This window comes from Homo sapiens, chromosome 7 (assembly GCF_000001405.40).
Source record: "Homo sapiens chromosome 7, GRCh38.p14 Primary Assembly".
NCBI classification, from domain to species: domain Eukaryota; kingdom Metazoa; phylum Chordata; class Mammalia; order Primates; family Hominidae; genus Homo; species Homo sapiens.
This window is the reverse complement of record NC_000007.14, coordinates 65202090-65223374: the sequence shown is the minus strand read 5'-3', so window position 1 is coordinate 65223374 and position 21285 is coordinate 65202090. Positions and strand designations below refer to the sequence as shown.

At 41.3% G+C, this 21285-nt stretch overlaps 1 long non-coding RNA gene and 1 pseudogene across 4 annotated transcripts in view; one reads left to right on the top strand and one right to left on the bottom strand.

The window, feature by feature from the left end:
• The window catches only part of LOC124901661 (uncharacterized), a 32854-nt gene extending 29042 nt beyond the window's left edge, over window positions 1–3812 (top strand). For both annotated transcript variants that reach the window (XR_007060366.1, XR_007060367.1), the window contains exon 2: window positions 3376–3812. This is a non-coding gene — a long non-coding RNA (uncharacterized LOC124901661). The remainder of the gene's footprint in view (window positions 1–3375) is intronic.
• The window catches only part of INTS4P1 (integrator complex subunit 4 pseudogene 1), a 93193-nt pseudogene that overhangs the window by 10848 nt on the left and 61060 nt on the right, over window positions 1–21285 (bottom strand). Inside the window, exons 12-15 of one of the 2 annotated variants that reach the window (NR_146906.1) lie at window positions 20738–20858; window positions 13562–13621; window positions 10943–11102; window positions 10581–10724 (exon numbers count right to left, since the gene is read on the bottom strand). The product of NR_146906.1 is annotated as an integrator complex subunit 4 pseudogene 1, transcript variant 2 (transcript). The remainder of the gene's footprint in view (window positions 1–10580; window positions 10725–10942; window positions 11103–13561; window positions 13622–20737; window positions 20859–21285) is intronic. The other variant, NR_146905.1, reaches the window with a different exon arrangement.

Here is a 21285-nt window from a genome sequence, read left to right as displayed (position 1 = left end):
TCCAGCCTGGGCGATAGGGTGAGACTCGATCTCAAAAAAAAAAAAAATGATGTTTGACCTCCTTCAACTTATATTTTAATGAATATGTTATTAATATTTATTCCAAAATTTTATAGAATTTCTAAAAATCTAATATATATCTCTTTATATGCTATTAGTCATAATTATGTTTATTATGAACAAATATAGGCAACAGATATAATCAATTTTTTATTTGTTTTTTCATAACCATTTAAGTAATTTTCACAGTTAATGGTTTAATTCTTATTTAGTTTCTAAAAACCTCAAAAGCACACAAAATCCCAGAGTATTGTGTCTTTAGGAGGTTCATGAAAAGATGGAAAGTGACCAGACAAGTTGAGTCCTGTTTCTGATAATTTTAGGATCATATTGTTTGAACTGGGTAAGGATCATGAGCATTCCCATGAAAAGACGGATTCATAAAACTGTGAGCCCAGGCAAGACAAAAATTAATTGAATATCAGAAAAATACTCTGCCACATTTTTACGCTAAATCAGCAAGTACTGAAATTTTTTAAATGTGCTCTTTAAATAAACTCTGTGGTCCAAGTAAAATTACCTATGAGAACCACTCAGTTATCAGTGCTATGCACATAAATTGGAGAAAAAGTCCTGGTATGTAAGACGACATAATTTTTTTTTTTTGGTCTTTTTTTTTTTTGACACAGAGTCTCACGAGTCTCACTTTGTCACCAGGCTGGAGTGCAGTGGCATGATCTCAGGTCACTGCAACCCCCGCCTCCCAGGTTCAAGCGATTCTCCTGCCTCAGCCTCCCTAGTAGCTGGGACTACAGGCATGCGCTACCATGCCCAGCTAATTTTTGTGTTTAGTGTTCAGGAGAATCACTTGAACCCGGGAGGCAGAGGTTTGCAGTGAGCCAAGATCTTGCCACTGCACTCCAGCCTGGGCAACAGAGTGAGACTCCATCTCAAAAAAAAAAAAAAAAAAAAAAAAAAGAAAAGAAAAAAGAAACAGACTCCTTGGTTGAAATGAGTAGACCAATTATTTAGCTAATTATTTGATCTATTTAATTTTAGTTGGTTTGTTCATGGGGACCCTGGTTAAAAAGCATACTTCAAACTCTTGGTGTTATCCTCCTGATAGTCAAAATAGTAGTCTCCCTATTGCACTGTATTCTCTCAAAAGTTATAAATGTTTGCATGCAGTCATCTCTAGAATGTCAAATGGTCTCTCTTTAATGGGAATGATGAAAACTCAAAGATATATGCGACCATGAGGACACCATAACCTATAAATGACATGATAAGAACAAAAACCCAAAATAATGGAAACTGAGAGAGGCACTAAGGCCCTAAGTTTTGGTCACACTCTGACGTATGTGAAAACTTAACCAAAACGGGGGAATTTTTAAAAGAAATTATTGGAGGCTATTATTCTGGACTGAGCTTACGCACCAGGCCCAAACAGACAAAACCAAACCAAACCAAAATGGAGTCACTCATGCTAAATATGACATACTCAAACTAAAAATTTAAGAAAATAGGTAGATGCTAAAACAGGCCAGGTTTTGTTTTTATTCTGTAAGCAGCAAATTTTAACATAAAGAGGTCCCCTCTACTGTAATTCTTTAAAAAATTAATATCCTCAAGTTCTCATTTCCACTTTACAAAACTCACAGTTCTGCTATTTCACAGTGAGATTTGAGACTAAATAAGTATATCTTTGATGATGGCAGAATATAATGTATAAAGTTTTGGTCTGTCTCTCAAACTTGAGAAGATAACCAAAAGCGAGAAATTGTTAAATTAGTTATAGCCTGAAGCTGTCCCCTTTCATTTAATTTTGGTCAATAGTTTTTTTTTTCTTTTTGTACATAGTAAACTGAAACCTAACTGTAACGCATTCCTGTACTAACCACTGTGATTTTCCCACTAAAAGGATATCAAATCTTCAAACCGTGTTTAAATAAGGCGAATCCCAAGCTATAACCAATCTGGCTGTTTCTGTACCTCACTTTCATTTTCTGTGTGTCACTTTGCTTTTTCTGTTCATCAATATTTTCTTACCATGTGGCTGTGCTGGAGTTTCTCTGAGCCTACTCTGGCTCCACAGGCTGCCTGATTTGCAAATCATTCTTTGTTCAATTAAACTCTGTAACATTTAATTTCTCTAGAGTTTTTTTTTTAATTTTCAATTTTTTTCTATGATAAAAAATAAGTCATGTGTGGTTTTGGCTTTGATTTTCTCAACTCATCCTTTAGCTACTTTTTCCAAATTATTCTATGTCCTTTTCAAATGCTCCTGCAATTTCTTTCTTTTTCTGCTTCTTCTTCTTCTTCTTTTTTTTTTTTTTTTTTTTTTTTTGAGACAGGGTCTGACTCTATAACCCAGGCTACAGTGCAGTTGTGTAACCAATCATGGATTACTGCAGCCTTGACCTTCTAGGCTCAAGTAAAGTAATCCTCCTACCTCTGCTATCTGAGGAGCTGGAACTACAGGCATGCCTCATCATGCCTGGCTAATTTTTTAAAAAAAATTTTTATGGAGACAGGATCTTACTATGTTGCCCAGGCTGCACTTGAGCTCCTGAGTGCAAGTGATTCTCCCATCTCAGACTGCCAAAGTGCTAGGATTACAGGTGTGAGCCGCCATGTGTTTCTGCAATTCCTTAAGATTATTTATTTATTTATTTTCACCCAGGCTGGAGTGCAGTGGCGTGATCTCTGCTCACTGCAACCTCTGCCTCCCAGGTTCAAGAGATTTTCCTGCCTCAGCCTCCCAACTAGCTGGGACTACAGATACCCACCACTAAGCCTGGCTAATTTTTTTGGTATTTTCAGTAGAGACGGGGTTTCACCATGTTGGTTAGGCTGGGTCTCAAATTCCCGACCTCGTGATCTGCCTGCCTCGGCCTCCCAAAGTGCTGGGATTACAAGTGTGAACCACCATGCCCAGCCATTTTAAGATTATTCTAATAATAAACAGTACTATATGGGCACAAATCTAAAAGAAATCTGACTTCTATTTTAGAAATGTCACTCTCCAGGATTTCAAGGGTCACACGGAGTTGATCCTGAGTCCCAGCCCAGCCACTTAGTAGCTGTGGGTCTTTGGACAATTTATTGATGTGGAAGAGTTCTATAAACTACATGCGCAAAAAAAGGCAGAATGATGCTTATTGCAAAAATGGTAGCAATTTTTTATCCCTCCTGTATCCATGCCCATTGCCAGGTGCTTTTACAGCTGTTCCCATTGAGATCCAGAATCTGTTTTCCAATCCCTGGATCTGGCTGGCCTTATTTGCTCAGGGCAGTGGAAACCTGTGAACATGACAGTGTGCTAGTTTGAGGCGTAGGCTCAAAAGGTATTGAATCCTTCTGTTTTTCTTTCAGAATGCTGCCATCTCTATGAAAAAAAGCCCATGTAAGCCAGACAAGATACCATGGGGAGGAGAAGCAAGTTGCCTCTGTTGACAGCCCCAGAAGCAGAAGCTCACTCCCAGAAGCACAGCTGCTTAGTCAACAAGCAGCTGATAATACATGTCTGAAAGAGCTCAGTTGAGACCAGAAGAATGGTCCCACTGAGCCCAGCCTAAATGCCTGACCATCTCAATTATGATGCTAATAAGTTTTGGATGGTTTGTTACACTGTAACAGCTAACTAATACATGCACCCAGTGCAGATAAGATGCCAGGCTTCAATGACAGCCTGATTACTAGTTACCTTCTAATAGTGGGCACCCTAAAAGTACTAATTTTTTCCCCCTGATTTAAAGTTGAATGTCTTGTAAGATAATGTTGAGAAATGCAGAAATACATGTGGACATGTATACATGTGATTGGTGATTATACTCACACAGCACCACATACAACAGGAGAAAACAGAAAACCACAGCCTGACCATTAGGGCCGAGGCCAAATAGCAACATGAGTTTGCCTTTTTCTATTTTCTCTGTTTCTAAACATTGGAGGCCTATACTGTGTACAGATCTAAAGACATAGAGTTTGCTTATCCTGTGACCTCATCATTCTTTGTTCATGTCTAATCTCTTGAAGAAAGGTGAGCAACTGGTGGCCAGCAGTGCTTGTAACCTCAGTACCTGAGGTAATTTTATTCCTGCTGTCCTCTGCTCTTTTTATGGCCACTATCTGTTTCATCCTTGGAACTGAAGAGAGATGTTGGTAGGGAGAGGCTCTTGCCGCACCTTTGGCAGAAAAGGGATGTTCAGGCCCTTCACCTCCTGGGGGAATGTAGAGGGGTTTCCAGGAAGCCCACTTGAAGTCTGAATTTAAAGTGAAAGTCCAGCCAGGCCAGGCGCGGTGGCTCACGCCTGTAATCCCAGCACTTTGAGAGGCTGAAATGGGTGGATCACCTGAGGCCAGGAGTTCATGACCAGCCTGGCCAACATGGTGAAACTCCATCTCTACTTAAAATATAAAAATTAGCTGGGCAGGGTTGTGGGCACCTGTAATCCCAGCTACTCAGGAGGCTGAGGTGGGAGAATTGCTTGAACCCGGGAGACAGAGGTTGCAGTGAGCTGAGATTGCGCCACTGCACTCCAGCATGGGCGACAAGAGCAAAACTCCGTCTCAAAAAAAAAAAAAAAAAAGTCAAAGTACAGCCAAACATGGTGGCTCACACCTGTAATCCCAGTACTTTGGGGGTGTTGAGGTGAGGAGGATTGCTTGAGGCCAGGAGTTCAAGAGCAGCCTAGGCAACATGGCGAGACCTTATCTCTATAGAAAATTAGAAAATTAGATGGGCATGGTGTGGTGCACGCCTGTGATCCCAGCTCCCACAGAACCTGAGATGGGAGGATCGCTTCAGGAGGTGGAGGCTGCAGTGAGCTCTGATCACACCACTGCACTCCAGCCTGGGTGACAGAGTGAGACCCTGTCACTAAAATAAATAAATAAATAAATAAGTAAATGAATAAATAGATGAATAAATAAAGTGAAAGTGCAGCTGAGTGTGTGCTTTCCCAGTGATGCTTGGCTGTCCAGATGCAGATGCAAGAGATCCAGCCTGTTCATGTCACCCTTGCCCAGGGGAACAATGTCAGGAGAGAGAGAGAAAAAGGAGGTTTTTTTTCTTCTTTTTTTGAGATGGAGTCTCCCTCTGTCGCCTAGGCTGGAGTGTAGTGGTGTGATCTCGGCTCACTGCAACCTCCACCTCCCGGATTCAAGCGATTTTTCCTGCCTCAGCCTCCCTAGTAGCTAGGATTACAGGCGCCTGCCACCACACCCAGCTAATTTTTGTATTTTCAGTAGAGACAGGGGTTTTGCCATTTTGGCCAGGCTGGTCTCGAACTCCTGACCTCAAGTGATCCACCCACTTCGGCCTCCCAAAGTGCTGGGATTACAGGCGTGAACCACCTCGCCCTGCAGGAGTTGATTTTAATTATGAACCATGATTAAGGAAGGCAATGACCACAGAGAGAGTGACAATGAGGTGGGGAGGCCAAGTGGAGAGTTCTGGAGCAAGAGAAGAGAGGTCAGCAGAGAGCTGTCTGAAGTCTCCTTTCTGGGTGATGGAGGGTCCCAGGTGTGACCGCAGGCAGGGAGTGGTGGCTGAGAGGCAAGTTGGAAAAGCTCACTGGAGCTTCAGCAGTCTAAGTGCCCAGAGAGACGGGGAGTAGCCTGGCCTGTCCACGTGGGTGACGACACCAACGTCTTGTATGAAATCACTGTTGCAAACCTGCTGGGGGAATGTAGAGGGGTTGCTGCTCTACAAGACGGCAAGAAGGATGAGAATGCAGTCAGCCAGGAACACAAGTCCTCAATGGATGACGAGGTGCAAGCGGAAGACCAGCAGACAGCAGTCACTGAGAGGGACAGCAGGTGACTCCGCTGCCTTTGAAAGAGAAAGGTCTTGGACACGACCACAGGAACCATGAAGGATATAGACCCTACCTTAGATTCTACAGTACGTGGGGTATAGGAGAAAAAAGAGTCCCTGCACCAGACGGTGCCGGGGGATGTGGGGTCCTGAGGGGCCAGTGGGGTTGGAGGGAGGGGACCCTCCTGCAAAAAGCTGAGTGGTGGCTCCAGAGCCGATGATGTCATCAGAGGAGCTGGGGCAGGATGGGGGGTGGGGAGGAGGGTCCAGTCATATTAGGCAATGCACAGATCCGGGGGGGAGGCCTATAGCACAGAGGCTCTGTCCTTTGAGGGTGACTGAACCAACAGGGGAAAGCGAGGCATGGTGAAAATAGCCATGGATGGCCAGCTGTGGTGGCTCACGCCTGTAATCCCAGCACTTTGGGAGGCCGAGGAGGATGGATCACCGGAGGTCAGGGGTTCAAGACCAGCCTGGCCAACATGGGGAAGCCCCGTCTCTACTAAAAATACAAAATTAGCCAGGCTTGATGGTGGGCACCTGTCATCCCAGCTGCTTGGGAGGCTGAGGCAGGAGAATTGCTTGAACCCAGGAGGCAGAGGTTGCAGCGAGCTGAGATCACATCACTGCACTCCAGCCTGGGCAACAAGAGCGAAACTCTGTCGGGAAGGGGAGAGGAGGGGAGGGGAGGGGAGAAGGAAGGAAGGATAGAAAGAAAGACAGAAAGAAAGAAGGAAGGGAGAGAGAGGGGGAAAGAAAGAAAGAAAAGAGAAAGAAAAAAAGAAAAAGGAAGGAACGAAGGAAAAAGGAGGGAGAGAGGGAGGAAGGAAGGAAGGAAAGAAAGAAAAGGTAAGAAAGAAAACCGTGGATGACCGCAGGACGGCCACAGGTGACATTTCAAGCTGTGAATTTGGAGAGCGAGGGCGCTCCAGGCAACTGTGGGGTGACTCCTCCCCCTGGTGGCCATATATGGCTAAAGCAAGTACAAGTCCAGACACACCTGGAGAACAGGTGCCATTGCCTGAAAGCAACCGTAACCACGACAACAAGGCCAGGTGCAGAACCCAGGTCTCCCCCCCTTTATTAGAGCCTGTGGAGAGATCATGAATGTATTCTCCAATATGTTCATTTTCAGGGGTTAAAAAAAAATCTCCCCAGTGTCACTTCTCCCAGGAACGTGTGTATGTGAATGGCTTAAAAACTGTTGCCCTTGACAAAGAAATGTACCAATCTCCAATGACAGAATATTTAATCGAGGAAAGTTCTCATTAACAGATGTTAATTAATCTCCTTAACAGATGTTAAGGAGAACTACAAACCACTGCTCAGTGAAATAAAAGAGAATACAAACAAATGGAACAACATTCCATGCTCATGGGTTGGAAGAATCAATATCGTGAAAATGGCCATACTGCCCAAAGTAATTTATAGATTCAATGCCATCCCCATCAAGCTACCAATGACTTTCTTCACAGAATTGGAAAAAACTACTTTAAAGTTCATATGGAACAAAAAAGAGCCCGCATCGCCAAGTCAATCCTAAGCCAAAAGAACAAAGCCAGAGGCATCATGCTACCTGACTTCAAACTATACTACAAGGCTACAATAACCAAAACAGCATGGTACTGGTACCAAAACAGAGATATAGATCAATGGAACAGAACAGAGTCCTCAGAAATAACACCACATATCTACAACCATCTGATCTTTGACAAACCTGACAAAAACAAGCAGTGGGGAAAGGATTCCCTATTTAATAAATGGTGCTGGGAAAACTGGCTAGTCATATGTAGAAAGCTGAAACTGGATCCCTTCCTTACGCCTTATACAAAAATTAATTCAAGATGGATTAAAGACTTACATGTTAGAACTAAAACCATAAAAACCCTAGAAGAAAACCTAGGCAATACCATTCAGGACATAGGCATGGGCAAGGACTTCATGTCTAAAACACCAAAAGCAATGGCAACAAAAGCCAAAATTGACAAACGGGATCTAATTAAACTAAAGAGCTTCTGCACAGCAAAAGAAACTACCATCAGACTGAACAGGCAACCTACAAAATGGGAGAAAATTTTCGCAACCTACTCACCTGACACAGGACAAATATCCAGAATCTACAATGAACTCAAATAAATTTACAAGAAAAAAACAAACAACCCCATCAAAAAGTGGGCGGAGGATATGAACAGACACTTCTCAAAAGAAGACATTTATGCAGCCAAAAAACACATGAAAAAATGCTCATCATCACTGGCCATCAGAGAAATGCAAATCAAAACCACAATGAGATACCATCTCACACCAGTTAGAATGGCGATCATTAAAAAGTCAGGAAACAACAGGTGCTGGAGAGGATGTGGAGAAATAGGAACACTTTTACACTGTTGTTGGGACTCTAAACTAGTTCAACCATTGTGGATGTCAGTGTGGCGATTCCTCAGGGATCTAGAACTAGAAATACCATTTGACCCAGCCATCCCATTACTGGGTATATACCCAAAGGACTATAAATCATGCTGCTATAAAGACACATGCACACGTATGTTTATTGCGGCACCATTCACAATAGCAAAGACTTGGGACCAACCCAAATGCCCAACAACGATAGACTGGATTAAGAAAATGTGGCACTTATACACCATGGAATACTATGCAGCCATAAAACATGATGAAACTGGAAACTATCATTCTCAGCAAACTATCACAAGGACAAAAAACCAAACACCGCATGTTCTCACTCATAGGTGGGAATTGAACAATGAGAACACATGGACACTGGAAGGGGAACATCACACCCCGGGGACTGTTGTGGGGTGGGGGGAGGGGGGAGGGATAGCATTTGGAGATATACCCAATGCTAAGTGACGAGTTAATGGGTGCAGCACACCAACATGGCACATGTATACATATGTAACAAACCTGCACATTGTACACATGTACCCTAAAACTTAAAGTATAATAATAATAAAATAAAATAAAATAAAATAAAATAAAATAAAATAAAATAAATAGTTAATGAATGGAGTTCTGCAGGCTTTGCTTTAAAGAACAGATCTACAGTATTTTAATGGGGAATGTAATCTCAGTGTCATCTCTGAGGCATGTTTACTGCTATATCTCTATCGAGCACCTGAAGTAGTGCCTGGAACAGAGGAATGACTCAGGGTGTGGTGACTGGACTGGATGGCACTTTCAAAGCACTGGACCTGTCCCACGATGGGGCAGTGAGTTTCCTGTCCCTCTACCTATAAGGTATCTAAAAGGTTTAGCCTTGCGTGTGGTAGATGTGCTTTGAAGGGGGTTTAGGAGACAGTCTAGGAGATGACCCTTAAGTAACCTGCCCACAATCTCCTTTACACTCAGGTGATCAGTGAAGTTTTTTTTCAGGGACAAGGTAAAACAGTAGTTCTGCTGGTATCACTGACTACGTATTAGAATCACCTATGAACTCTTAAACACTAGTGTCCATAGGCCCTATTCTCAGGATTTTGATTTAATTAATGTAGGCTGACACCTATTCATCTGTTCTTAATGCTTTCTGAGTAATCCTAAAGTGCAGTGAAGGTGGACAACCACTAATGTGGAAAAAAACAAAACAAAACAAAAACACTCCAATATGCAATACAACTTCACAGCTAGCTCAGAACTAGTTCTCTGCAGGTCTCATAATTTATAATAATTTCTGCTTGGAAGCCAGAAGGCCCAGTCCTTTATTGTCACCATAGCCGAAAAGCGTAATCTTCAAGGCCTGATTCATCCTTACCTCCTCCAGGAAGCCTTCTCTGCCTGTTCCAGCCTATTTTTCTGTCCCCTTATTGTACTTCCTGCCAGTGCTTGCATCCCTGCTTTGACTCATATCCCTTTGGCCCTTCTCTCATATCCCTTGTGCCCTTCTCCTTTCCTTTCCTGAGCCTCCACCACACTCCAAATTGAATACTCTAAAAGGTTTAGCCCTGCATGTGATAGAGGTGCTTTGAAAGGGTTTTTTAGGAGACAGTCTAGGAGATGACCCATCCTGTGCATGTCTACTCACCAAACCCTGTTTTATAATTGCCTGCCCATTTGTATGTCTCTCAGTGAAACTGTGCACACCCTGAGAGGAAGAACTGTGACATATTTACCTTGGCAACCACAGCACTTAGTGCATGCAATAGAGTAAACACGATTGCACAGATGGATGGAAGGAAGGATGAATGAGTGGACAGATGGATGAATGAAGGAGTAGTACTCTTTGTGGGGCTTAACTGCACTGTCTGAATTGATTAGTGTCTCTACTACATTTCTCATGTGTCTCTATTACATCTATGTAACTTGGGAAAGAATATTTCCTAGTAATCGCTTTTTCCCATCCATAAATTTTATCTGCCAGCTGACTGACTCACAGCCTGAAAGGAACTTGTTTATTATAGTTTTCTGTAACAAAAGACCAAATCTTAACGTCACATTACAAGATTAGAAAAGGTCTTATCATTTACTGAACGCTTACTGGGTCCTGGGGGCTTTAAATACATTATCTCTTTATGTCAACTCCTCCTATTTGTCAGTTGTAGAATCTGAGACTCAGAGTTTAAAGTAACTTGCTCCAAACCACACTCAGCAGTAGTTGAGATTCAAGCCTAGGTTCTTTCCCACAGAAGCTCATTTCTTCTCCTGTCCCAGTTTCTGTCCCTCAAGTAGAGACTACAGGGGTACTAACATTAAATACTTCAACACAAGGTCAGTCTAGAAGCTCCACGAGGACCCAAACCCGACAGACCTGGACCTTAACAGTGTTCTGAGGATCCTGCACATGCTCCAGGGTTGCATCAACATCCAGGGCAACCACCAACCCAGAGGTAAACCGCAAAGGGTTGTCTGACTCGCCTGCTGGCTCAATGATGGTGGCTGAGGCTTTGTGGATCTGTAAGCAAGAGGAAAATCCTATGATTCTAAAGCCAGGTCATTCCTGGACAAGAAAACACATCTTTTTTCTGTCTCCTTATCTAATGAGTGGGCATGTGGGAGCCACTCAGAGGAAGAGCCTAGCCCAGCTGCTCCATTGGTCAAAGAAGATCACCAAGGTAAAGATTTTTGACCGTCTGGACAGATTTGGCCTACAGGGGCCAAATAGACCCTGACCTGCTCTGGAAGTGGGAGATGCAGAAAGGCACTCTGTCGCAGCATGGTCTGTAGAATTTTGACCACTTCTGCAGGTTTGGATGTCATGAATCGGGGCATAAGGTCAAGGAGTTTGTCCACAAAGCTGTCCTGCAAGTGGGGCAAATCAGCGATGAAATACCTGGAGGAACAAACAGAAGCAACTGACTCATTCAACTGTGCACACGTTCACCACAGGCTGGGCCCCAGACACCTACCAAACCCTGAAGTAGGAAGAATGATGAAGTGAGAAGAGCTTGCAATTTACGACCAAGATAGACTGGTACCTATACAATCATGCCTCAGTCACATGATCATCAGAAAGGCCTCTGTTTATTGATAACCATTATGTGCCAGGCATACTCTTAAGTGTTTTACATGATCTTATTTAACTCCCAGCAATCCTAAGCATCATTAGAATTTTTATTTTCATATTATAGATTCATTAATTATTTTAACAAATACATTTTTAAGACCTACGAAGCACCAAGCACTATTTTAGGTTCTGGAAACACAGTGAACAAAAGAGAACAAAACGATTGCTTCAATGGAGCTTACATTCAAGTGGCAGAAAACACTGAGACTCAGAGGGGATGATGCCTCACTGAGGCTCAGAAAAGTTAAGTACGTTACTCCTGGCTCAGACTGATCCAATTTTGGGCCTCGTGCCAGTGGATAGTCAAAAAATATCTCACTGAGGAGGTGATATCTGTGCAGGAACTCAAAGGATGAATTAAGAACATCAGATGAAGAACTTTGGGGATTCAGAGCTATCATCTTCCCAAAAATCTTTTCAACCCAACTGTGCAAAAACAGACTCTCTACTTTAAAGAATCTAAAGCCAAAAGTAAGGCATGAACTTATTTCAGATTCAAAACTAGAATTTATTTTTTATTTTCTTTTTGAGAAGGAGTCTCGCACTATTGCCCAGGCTGGTGTGCAATGGCGTGATCTCGGCTCACTGGAACCCCGCCTTCTGGGTTCAAGCAATTCTCCTGCCTCAGCCTCCCGAGTAGCTGGGATTACAGCTGCCCACCACCACGCCCTACTAATTTTTTGTATTTTTTAGTAGAGACGGGGTTTCATTATGTTGGCCAGGCTGGTCTCGAACTCCTGACCTCATGATCCACCTGCCTCGGCCTCCCAAAGTGCTGGGATTACAGGCGTGAGCCACCGCGCCCAGCCTCAAAACTAGGATCTTAAAAAGCCAAGCTAGATGGTACAGTTTGCTAGACAGCATTACCTGCTGGTGAAGGTAGCGTTGCAACTCAGCCCTGTAAGAAGCTATCATCACCCCAATGACAAGTACAGAGTCACAAAAACCTCAGGTTTGGTGAACTTCATGAGGGCAGAGACAATGAGCGGAAGAAATGAAACAGACTTCATCAGTGCTTTAAGATCCTATGTCTTCTCCCAGTATTATTCTACCAGCATACCAGAAGTCTGGTCACTCCCTTGACTCCTATTTCTTCATCAAGCTTTCCATTCAACTACTGCATGTGCTTTAACAGATTCATTCCATATAAAACTCTGAAAAAATATATGTATTCTACAAAATAAAATTTACCTACAGAATTACAAAACAATTGTAGATTACAGAGAAATATGCAAGTATAAGAACAGTGTGGGCCTGGTGCAGTGGTTCACACCTGTAATCCCAATACTTTGGGAGGCAGAGGCAGGAGGATCTCTTGAAGCCAGGAGTTTGAGAACAGCCTGAGCAACACAGCAAGACCCCATCTCTAAAAAAAAATATTAAAAATTATCCAGTCATGGTGGCACATGCCTGTAGTCCTAGCTACTCAGGAGTCTGAAGTAGGATGATAGCTTTAGCCCAGGAATTCAAGGGTGCAGTGAGCTGTGCCAGTCTGGGTGACAGAGTGAGACCCTGTCTCAAAAAATAATAATGAGGTCAGACGCGGTGGTGGCTCATGCCTGTAATCCCAGCAGTTTGGGAGGCCAAGGCAGGCAGATCACTTGAGGTCAGGAGTTAGAGACCAGCCTGGCCAACATGATGAAACCCCGTCTCTACTAAAAATACAAAAATTAGCCAGGTGTGGTGGTAGGCACCTGTAGTCCCAACTACTTGGGAGGCTGAGGCAGAAGAATCACTTGAACCCAGGAGGCAGAGGCTGCAGTGAGCCAAGACTGCGCCACTGCACTCCAGCCTGGGTGACAGAGCAAGACTCTGTCTCAAATAAATAAATAAATAAATAAATAAATAAATAAATAAATAAATAAGAATGGTGTGAACGAACAGTATTAAAAAAACAGATGACTAATGATTTTTTTCAACAAACGTATTTACACGTTTTCTTCATATTACTTGTGTTTTTATGGCCTAGCTGAGTGCTAAATGCAAGTGATTCCTGGTAGGTTTAGTTTTGAAGCTCCAACTTCAAAGAAGTTTCTATAATATTAAGAAAAAAACCAAATTAGTTTTTTTTTTCCTAATTTAAGGTTAACGACATGGCCACAGATGATAGCCTGGCTGTACAAGCTAAACCAAGGAATGTGATTTGTGATTGTTCCTATTGCCTGCAAGTGCTATACTCCGTGTAACCAAGATTTTATAAGCCGGAAGAGTTATAAAATACTTACCTCTGAAAAAAGTCTACTTCCTGTAAAAATTTTTCACACATCCCAAATAAGGGGTAAAGTCTGTAGAAAAGAAACGTAAAATAATTTGCTTGTGAAATCTGCAAACTGAGGAGGACCAAAAGTCCCAGAAACCTGAGCCTAAATTAAAGGAAAATTAGTATATTACACTATAAAAACGATCTCTAAAAGTAACAGAAGACTCCTAATGGACCTGGGGGAAACACCTGTCGGGATCCCAAGACCTGATTAAACCACTGCAGTGCCCATTAAGCTCAAAGAATATTAAAAATCAAAGACTATCAGAGGCTACACTTGGCACTAGACTCACTACGAATACAGAAGAGAAGCATAGCATGTGGGCAGCACAGTGTCAAGTTCCCCTTCTTCAGGAGTCCTTGCTTCATTAGCATCTCAGCTAGCATGGTCTCTATACCTATCTGATTTAGATCTCATCTCCTTGCACATGAGCTGTCAGCATTGGGATGAAAGCTCCCAGATAGCTGTGTGGACTGCTGCAAGATCTACCCAGTTTCAAGAATCACTGCACTCAATGAAGCCTACAGCCATTGTATCGGCATCTGGAAACTAGTTCATTTATATTTCCTTCTGGTCTACATGCAATTTACTCAGAGATCATTTTTTCCATAGCGGTATAGCCTACTAATGTAGTTGATACTGTAAGGGCTCCAAGAAACATACCTAAAAAGTTAACTAAATTCCTATGCAAGAGGGGAAAAGGTTTTGCTACTATTTTGCCGACAGACATGGATGGTGTTCCTTCCTCTCTATCTTGAATTACTTGGCCTCACAGTACTTGAGAACATTCCATTTCAGTAAAAAGTTATTGCATACCTAAATAATCCAGGCAACATGCTAGGTCAATGTGACTTACTAAGTTTTGACCTTTGTATATTTTCTTCCTATTTCTTGTATGTAATTTCTGCATGAAATTTCCCACTTGTTTTCTTTAATATATTATTCATTGGAGGAATAAAATTTCCCACCAAGATAAAACAAATACTCTTTCCTTATGTAAAAATATGTAAGAGAATGATGTCAAAGTTTCGTCTTTTTATTAAAATATAGTCTCCACGAGTAGACTTTGTATTCTTCATCATATATTTCCTAGCACAGGCAGCATTCAATAAGTATTTGCTGAATGAACAAAAAATGGGGCCGGGGGTAGATGGCAAATGGAAACCTACTCTGGAAGCAACATTCATTCTAATTCTTTTCCTGAAAAAAAAAAACAACAAAAAAAAGTAGCACTTGAAAGTTTTTAAACTAATCTTCTACCAGAAATGGAAGTGAAATTTCATAGTGAGGTTACCCACCAAACACCACAAGGAGTGAGAGGGCTAGAAGGGAGAATTCCAGCCAAGCAAGGGCACAAAGGAAAGCAATTTGGCCAAGCAGTGACATTTCCTCATTTGTTTGCCTGATTATATAGAGAATCATCTTGGAGAGACTCCAGGAAGTAAAATACAAAAAGATTTGGGAACTCTCCCCAGATGTCAAAAAAGAGCAGGCATCCTCATCAACAGGCCATATACATGAAGTAGGCCTCTAATACTAAGATCTCCTACTTTTCCTTTGGTGTGAGGGAAGGAAAGCTATGAAAGTGAGGCTCACTCGGGGGCTAACAATCATTAAAGAATACAAATTACCAATTTAAACTAGTCTAGACTTTCACTGTAAGTAGGCAAAGACAATGGAAAATGACTAGGTGTTATAAATGACAATCAGGAGCTGTAAAGGAGACCAAGCAGTCCTCAAAAAGAGTTAAGTCAAGGCAAGAAAGCACAGAAAACTTTTTAAAAAATTCTAATCAACAACCTCAGTGAGAGTTAACAGGGATTTAAAAGGATATTACATTGACAAAGCAAGAGAAACTGCTACAGAAACAGCAGATGACAAGAAGAGAAACTATACAGCAGAAAAAAAAGGAAAAAAATAGTAGAGAAGCACACTTGGAAATAAAACACATAATAATGAAATCAAACTCAACAGTTAAGAACAGTGGAATCAACAACAATGTAAACTGAAATGATAAACTAAAAAGAGCATATTAAAGAATTTACTGGCCAGGCACAGTGGCTCATGCTTGTAATTCCAACACTTTGGGAGGCTGAGGCAGGCGGATCACCCGAGATCAGAAGTTCAAGACCAGCCTGACCAAACATGGAGAAACCCTGTCTCTACAAAAATACAAAATTAGCCGGGTGCAGTGGCACATGCCTGTAATCCCAGCTACTTGGGAGGCTGAGGCAGGAGAATCGCTTGAACCAGGGAGGTGGAGGTTGCAGGGAGCTGAGATTGTTGAGATTGTGCCATTACACTCCAGCCTGGGCATCAACAGCAAAACTCCATCTCAAAAAAAAAAAAAAAAAAAAAAAAAAAAAAAAAAAAAAAAAGAATTTACTCAGAATATAGAATAGAAAAACAAAGAAATTGAAATTACAAAAGAAAAGGTATAGGAAAAATAGATCCAGAAAATCCAACATTTAGTATGACAGACTAGAGTGTATAGAAGAAGTAAAGAAATAATGGAGAAAAAAAAAATCCCCGAGCTAAAAACAGCTGATACTTCAAACTCCCACCGAAGGTCAGCAAGAATATTGAAAGAAAACACATACCTAGATATATCCTGGTGAAATTAAAGAAAGAAAGAAAATTTTAAAGGTTTGAGCATGAAAAATAAGCTGTAGGGAAGAGAACCAGACTGACATAAAACATTCAACTGTAACATTAAATACTAAAAGGGAACATAGCAAAGGCAGAGAGTCTCTATGAACCTATTCTGGTTTGGCGGGGGTTGCCCAATAAAATAAATAAATAAAGGCACCATAGCAATATGGAAATATTGGAAAAGAATTCCATTTATGTATGAGAGCAAAGGAATTTAAAAGGTGACAGAGAACAGTGGTGGCAAAGTTGGAGCTAAACTTATAAAGATTATAAGTGGTGGCTCACGTCTGTAATCCTAGCACTTTGGGAGGCCGAGGTGGGAGGATACTTTGAGTTCAGGAGTTCAAGACTGGTCTGGGCAACACAGTGAAACCATGTTTCTACTATTTTTAAAAATAAAAAATATTTTATAAAAAAATTAAAAATAAAAATAAACAAGGATATACAAGGATTATGTACTTATAACTTTAAAAGATTATATTTATAAACATAAAAATTAATATAAGCTACATTATAAAAACATAATCAGCTGAAACAAACCTCCAAGTTATTAATTATTATTATTATTATTTTTTTGAGACGGAGTCTCACTCTGTCACCCAGGCTGGAGTGCAGTGGTGGGATCTCAGCTCACTGCGAGCTTCACCTCCTGGGTTCATGCCATTCTCCTGCCTCAGCCTCCCGAATAGCTGGGATTACAGGCACCTGCCACCACGCCCGGCTAATTTTTTTTTTATTTTTAGTAGAGCCGGGGTTTCACCATGTTAGCCAGGATGGTCTCGATCTCCTGACCTCGTGATCCACCCGATTCAGCCTCCCAAAGTGCTGGGGTTACAGGCGTTAGCCACCGCACCCAGCCATATTATTATTTTTAAGACATAGGGTCTTGTTCTGTTGCCCAAGTTGGAGTGCAATGGCATGATCATAGCTCATTGCAGCCTCGAACTCCTGGGCTCAAGGGATCCTCCCACCTCAGCCTCCCAAGTAACTAGGACCACAGGTGCACACCACCCATGTCCAGCTAATTTTTGATTTTTATTTTTTAGAGACAGGGTCTCACTATGTTGCTTAGGCTGGGGTCAAACTCCTGGCTGGGCTCAAGCGATCCTCCTGCTTTCGCCTCCTAAAGTCTGGGATTACAGGCATGAGCCACTGCATCTAGCCCAAATTGCTATTATTATTTTTTGCTCAGTAAGAGACCTTAACTGGCCTGAATTATTATTATTATTATTATTATTATTATTATTATTATTATTTGAGATGGAGTCTCACTCTGTCACCCAGGCTGGAGTGCAGTGGCACGATTTCGGCTCACTGCAACCTCCGCCTCCTGGGTTCAAGCAGTTTTCTGCCTCAGCCTCCCGAGTAGCTGGGATTACAGACGCCCACCACCACGCCGGGCTAATTTTTTGTATTTTTAGTAGAGATGGGGTTTCACCATCTTGGCCAGGCTGGTCTTGAACTCCTGACCTCGTGATCCACCTGTCTTGGCCTCCCAAAGTGATGGGATTACAGGCGTGAGCCACTGCACCCAGCCAACTGGCCCAAATTACTTAAGCAGTAAGAGACAAACAAAAGCATACTAAAATCTTCATCTTCATCTTAGATCATCTTGATCTCTTAGATCACCTTGATCTTAGAGAGGTGACCATAAATTCTGTTTAACTTTTTATGCTGATAAATATAAGTTCAATATGTTCATTAAAAATATAAGTAATAACAGTATTACTAAAACTAATATTAGTTAACATGTATCAAGTATTTATAATGGATGTGACAGACACTATTTTAAAGGCTTTGCATATAATAATCCAGCCAGGCACAGTAGCTCACGCCTGGAATCCCAGCACTTTGGGAGGCCGAGGCAGGTGGATCACTTGAGGCCAGGAGTTTGAGACCAGCATGGCCAACATGGTGAAACCCCATCTCTCCTAAAAATAAAAAAATTAGCTGAGTGTGGTGACATGGGCCTGTAGTCCCAGCTACTTGGGAGGCTGAGGCATGAGAGTTGCTTGGACCGGGAACGAGAGGTTGCAGTGAGTTGAGATCGTGCCACTGCACTCCAGCCTGGGTGATAGAGCAAGACTCTGTCTCATAAATAAATAAAATAAATAAATGGTTTTGCATATAATAATTCAATAACCCTTACAATACCCCTGTGAGGAAGAGACAGGTACTACTATTATCTCAGTTTAACTTATGGGAACAAACTGAGGCCAAGAAGTGTTAAGTAACTTGTCCAAGGGTTACTCAGTTTGCAAATGGTAAAGTCAAGATGTGAACCCAAGCAGTGTGGCACCACAGCCCTCTTAACCAGTATGTTCTACTGCCTCTCACTTGAAGTGTTTAGAATTACGGTGCATAACTTTCAAACCCCTGGAGGACAAAAGAAAACAATCTAGCAAAACTTAAGAAAGAAAAAAAAGAAAAAAACAGGAACGCATACAAATGAAAAATATAGGCTGGGCTCGGTGGCTCACGCCTGTAATCCCAGCACTTTGGGAGGCCGAGTCGGGTGGATCACCTGAGTTCAGAAGTTCGAGACCAGCCTGGCTAACATGGTGAAACCCGTCTCTACTGAAAATACAAAATTAGCCGGGCATGGTGTTGCATGCCTGTAATCCCAGCTACTTGGGAGGCTGAGGCAGGAGAATCGCTTGAACCCAGGAGGCAGAGGTTACAGTGAGCTGAGATTGGACCACTGCACTCCAGCCTGGGCGACAGAGCGAGACTTTGTCTAAAAGAAAAAAAAAAAGAAAAATATAAAATATTATAGCATGAATAAAGACCTAAAAACATTAGTATCTTTATATAATGACACGACAAGATAAGCATATTATAATGTTGGGTGAAAGGAATAGGAGGCAGAACAGCAAAGTATGGTATGATCCCCTTTATGTTATTGTACACATCTTTATAACCTATGTTTATACGGTTTGGGAAAATCTGGAAGTATACACATGAAATGTTGGCAGCTGTTTTCGAAGTGGTAAATTACCAGAGAACCTTCACTTACCCTGTAATATTTTAATTTTTGTAACAATTATATATAAACTAAAAAAAATCTTTTTTAAAAAACAGTATAGATGCCATCACAAGCACTTTTGTTTTTTCAGCTATAACTGGCACATAGTAGGGATTAAACATTTGTTAAATGAATATATGAATATCTTTTTTTTTTTTTTATAAAGATGGAGTCTTGCTCTGTTGCCCAGGCTGGAGTGCAGTGATGTGATTTCGGCTCACTGCAACCTCCATCTCCCGGGTTCTAGAGATTCTCCTGCCTCAGCCTCCCGAGTAGCTGGGACTACTGGTGCATGCCACCACGCCCAGCTAATTTTATGTATTTTTAGTAGAGACAGGGTTTCACCATGTTAGCTAGGATGCTCTTGATCTCCTGACCTCGTGATCTGCCCACCTTGGCCTCCCAAAGTGCTGGGATTACAGGTGTGAGCCACCGCACCCGGCCACATATGAATATCTTTACGATTAAATGATTCTTTGACTTTATGAGGTCACTATCAAGATAAGTGAAGAAATAAAATATTTTATTTTTCAGGATGTTATTTCTGACCTAGTATGTTTCTGTGTTTAAACATTCATATTTATATCTCTATGCCACTTTTTTTTGACACAGCAGCTGGACTGAGCATCAAACATGTCTGTGAGCTGGCAATGAGTCACCTAAGTACTTTTTTGTATCAAATCTATGATGCCATCATTCTTAAGATGCACCTTTATTTTATGAAATAGTAAGAAACAAAAAACACTATGGAACACCATCAAAATATCTGATTTCAGAGAAGTTACAATAATAAAAAATGTGTATCTTGGAATCAATGAAATGTGGCAATTCCAGTTATCTGAAAGTCTTACAGCTATAATTATACTGAGCTCTTATTACGTATCAAGTACCATGCTAAGTGTTTTTATATTGTATTATCTCATTTATTCTTCATAGAAATGCCATGAGGTAGATGCTGTCTTCATTTTCATTTTGTACAGGGAAACAAGGTACAGAAAGGTTCATAACCAAACAACTAGTAAGTAGAAAAGACAAGATTTGAACAAAGTAGTCTGACTTCCCAGTACATCCTCTTAATTTATCCTTATTGCCTGAGAAAAAGCTTATTAGTCCCTTCAGAACAGAAAAAGTGGTCCCTGGCACTAAATTCTTGAGGAAATCTATCAAGTAGGAGGATACAGAATGTCCTTATTGCCAGATAAAGTCCAGTGTTGTGCTATATGTAATGGAGAGTCACCAGAGGGTTTTCAGCAAGGGAGACGCACAATTGGATTTCCAAGGGTCTAATCTGATCCAACAACAGAATTTGTAATATCTGAAAAAAATGAATAGATCACACATTCCTTAGCTAGTCTTTCCTAAATTTCATTTTACTTATCATTAACTTTCGTGTGATGTCTGAATGCATTCGAAGTATCTTTGAAAGGAACATGCCACATATTTTGGCCAACCCCACATCTTACCCTCGTGTAGTTCGTGCTGTTATTATAAGTTGCAAAGCTTTGGCCTGCAGCCTCATGTGATGTATAATCACCACCTGCTTATTCTCCACACCACTCTACATGAATTCCATTTTGTAGGTCTCTTCCATAATCGATAAAGAAAAGATAATTAACAATCAATAAAAATATCATAGTCTTACTTGAGAGCAGCATAGAATTCTACTGTTAAATGACCTTAGGTGAAACTCTTAACTGAGATTTTACATCCCTATGCTTTTAAGTGTGGAAAGAAATTAGTATAGTATGCCTTGTAAAAAGAGAATAAATTATTTTGCCTATTTAAAAAGAAGACTGACCTGGTAATAAAATCATCTTAGTTGATGATGTGAAGATAAGAAAGTTTAATCACTAAGCAAACTGCAAAGCACTGAAAGCACTGCTTCTTACCCTAAATGAAGCCCACTCTGCTGTGGGAACAAATTAATATATATTATGTATGGAAACCCAATCCCCACAAAGTCCTCAAGAATTAAGCATCAGGAACTATTAACCATATGTTAGTTATCCTG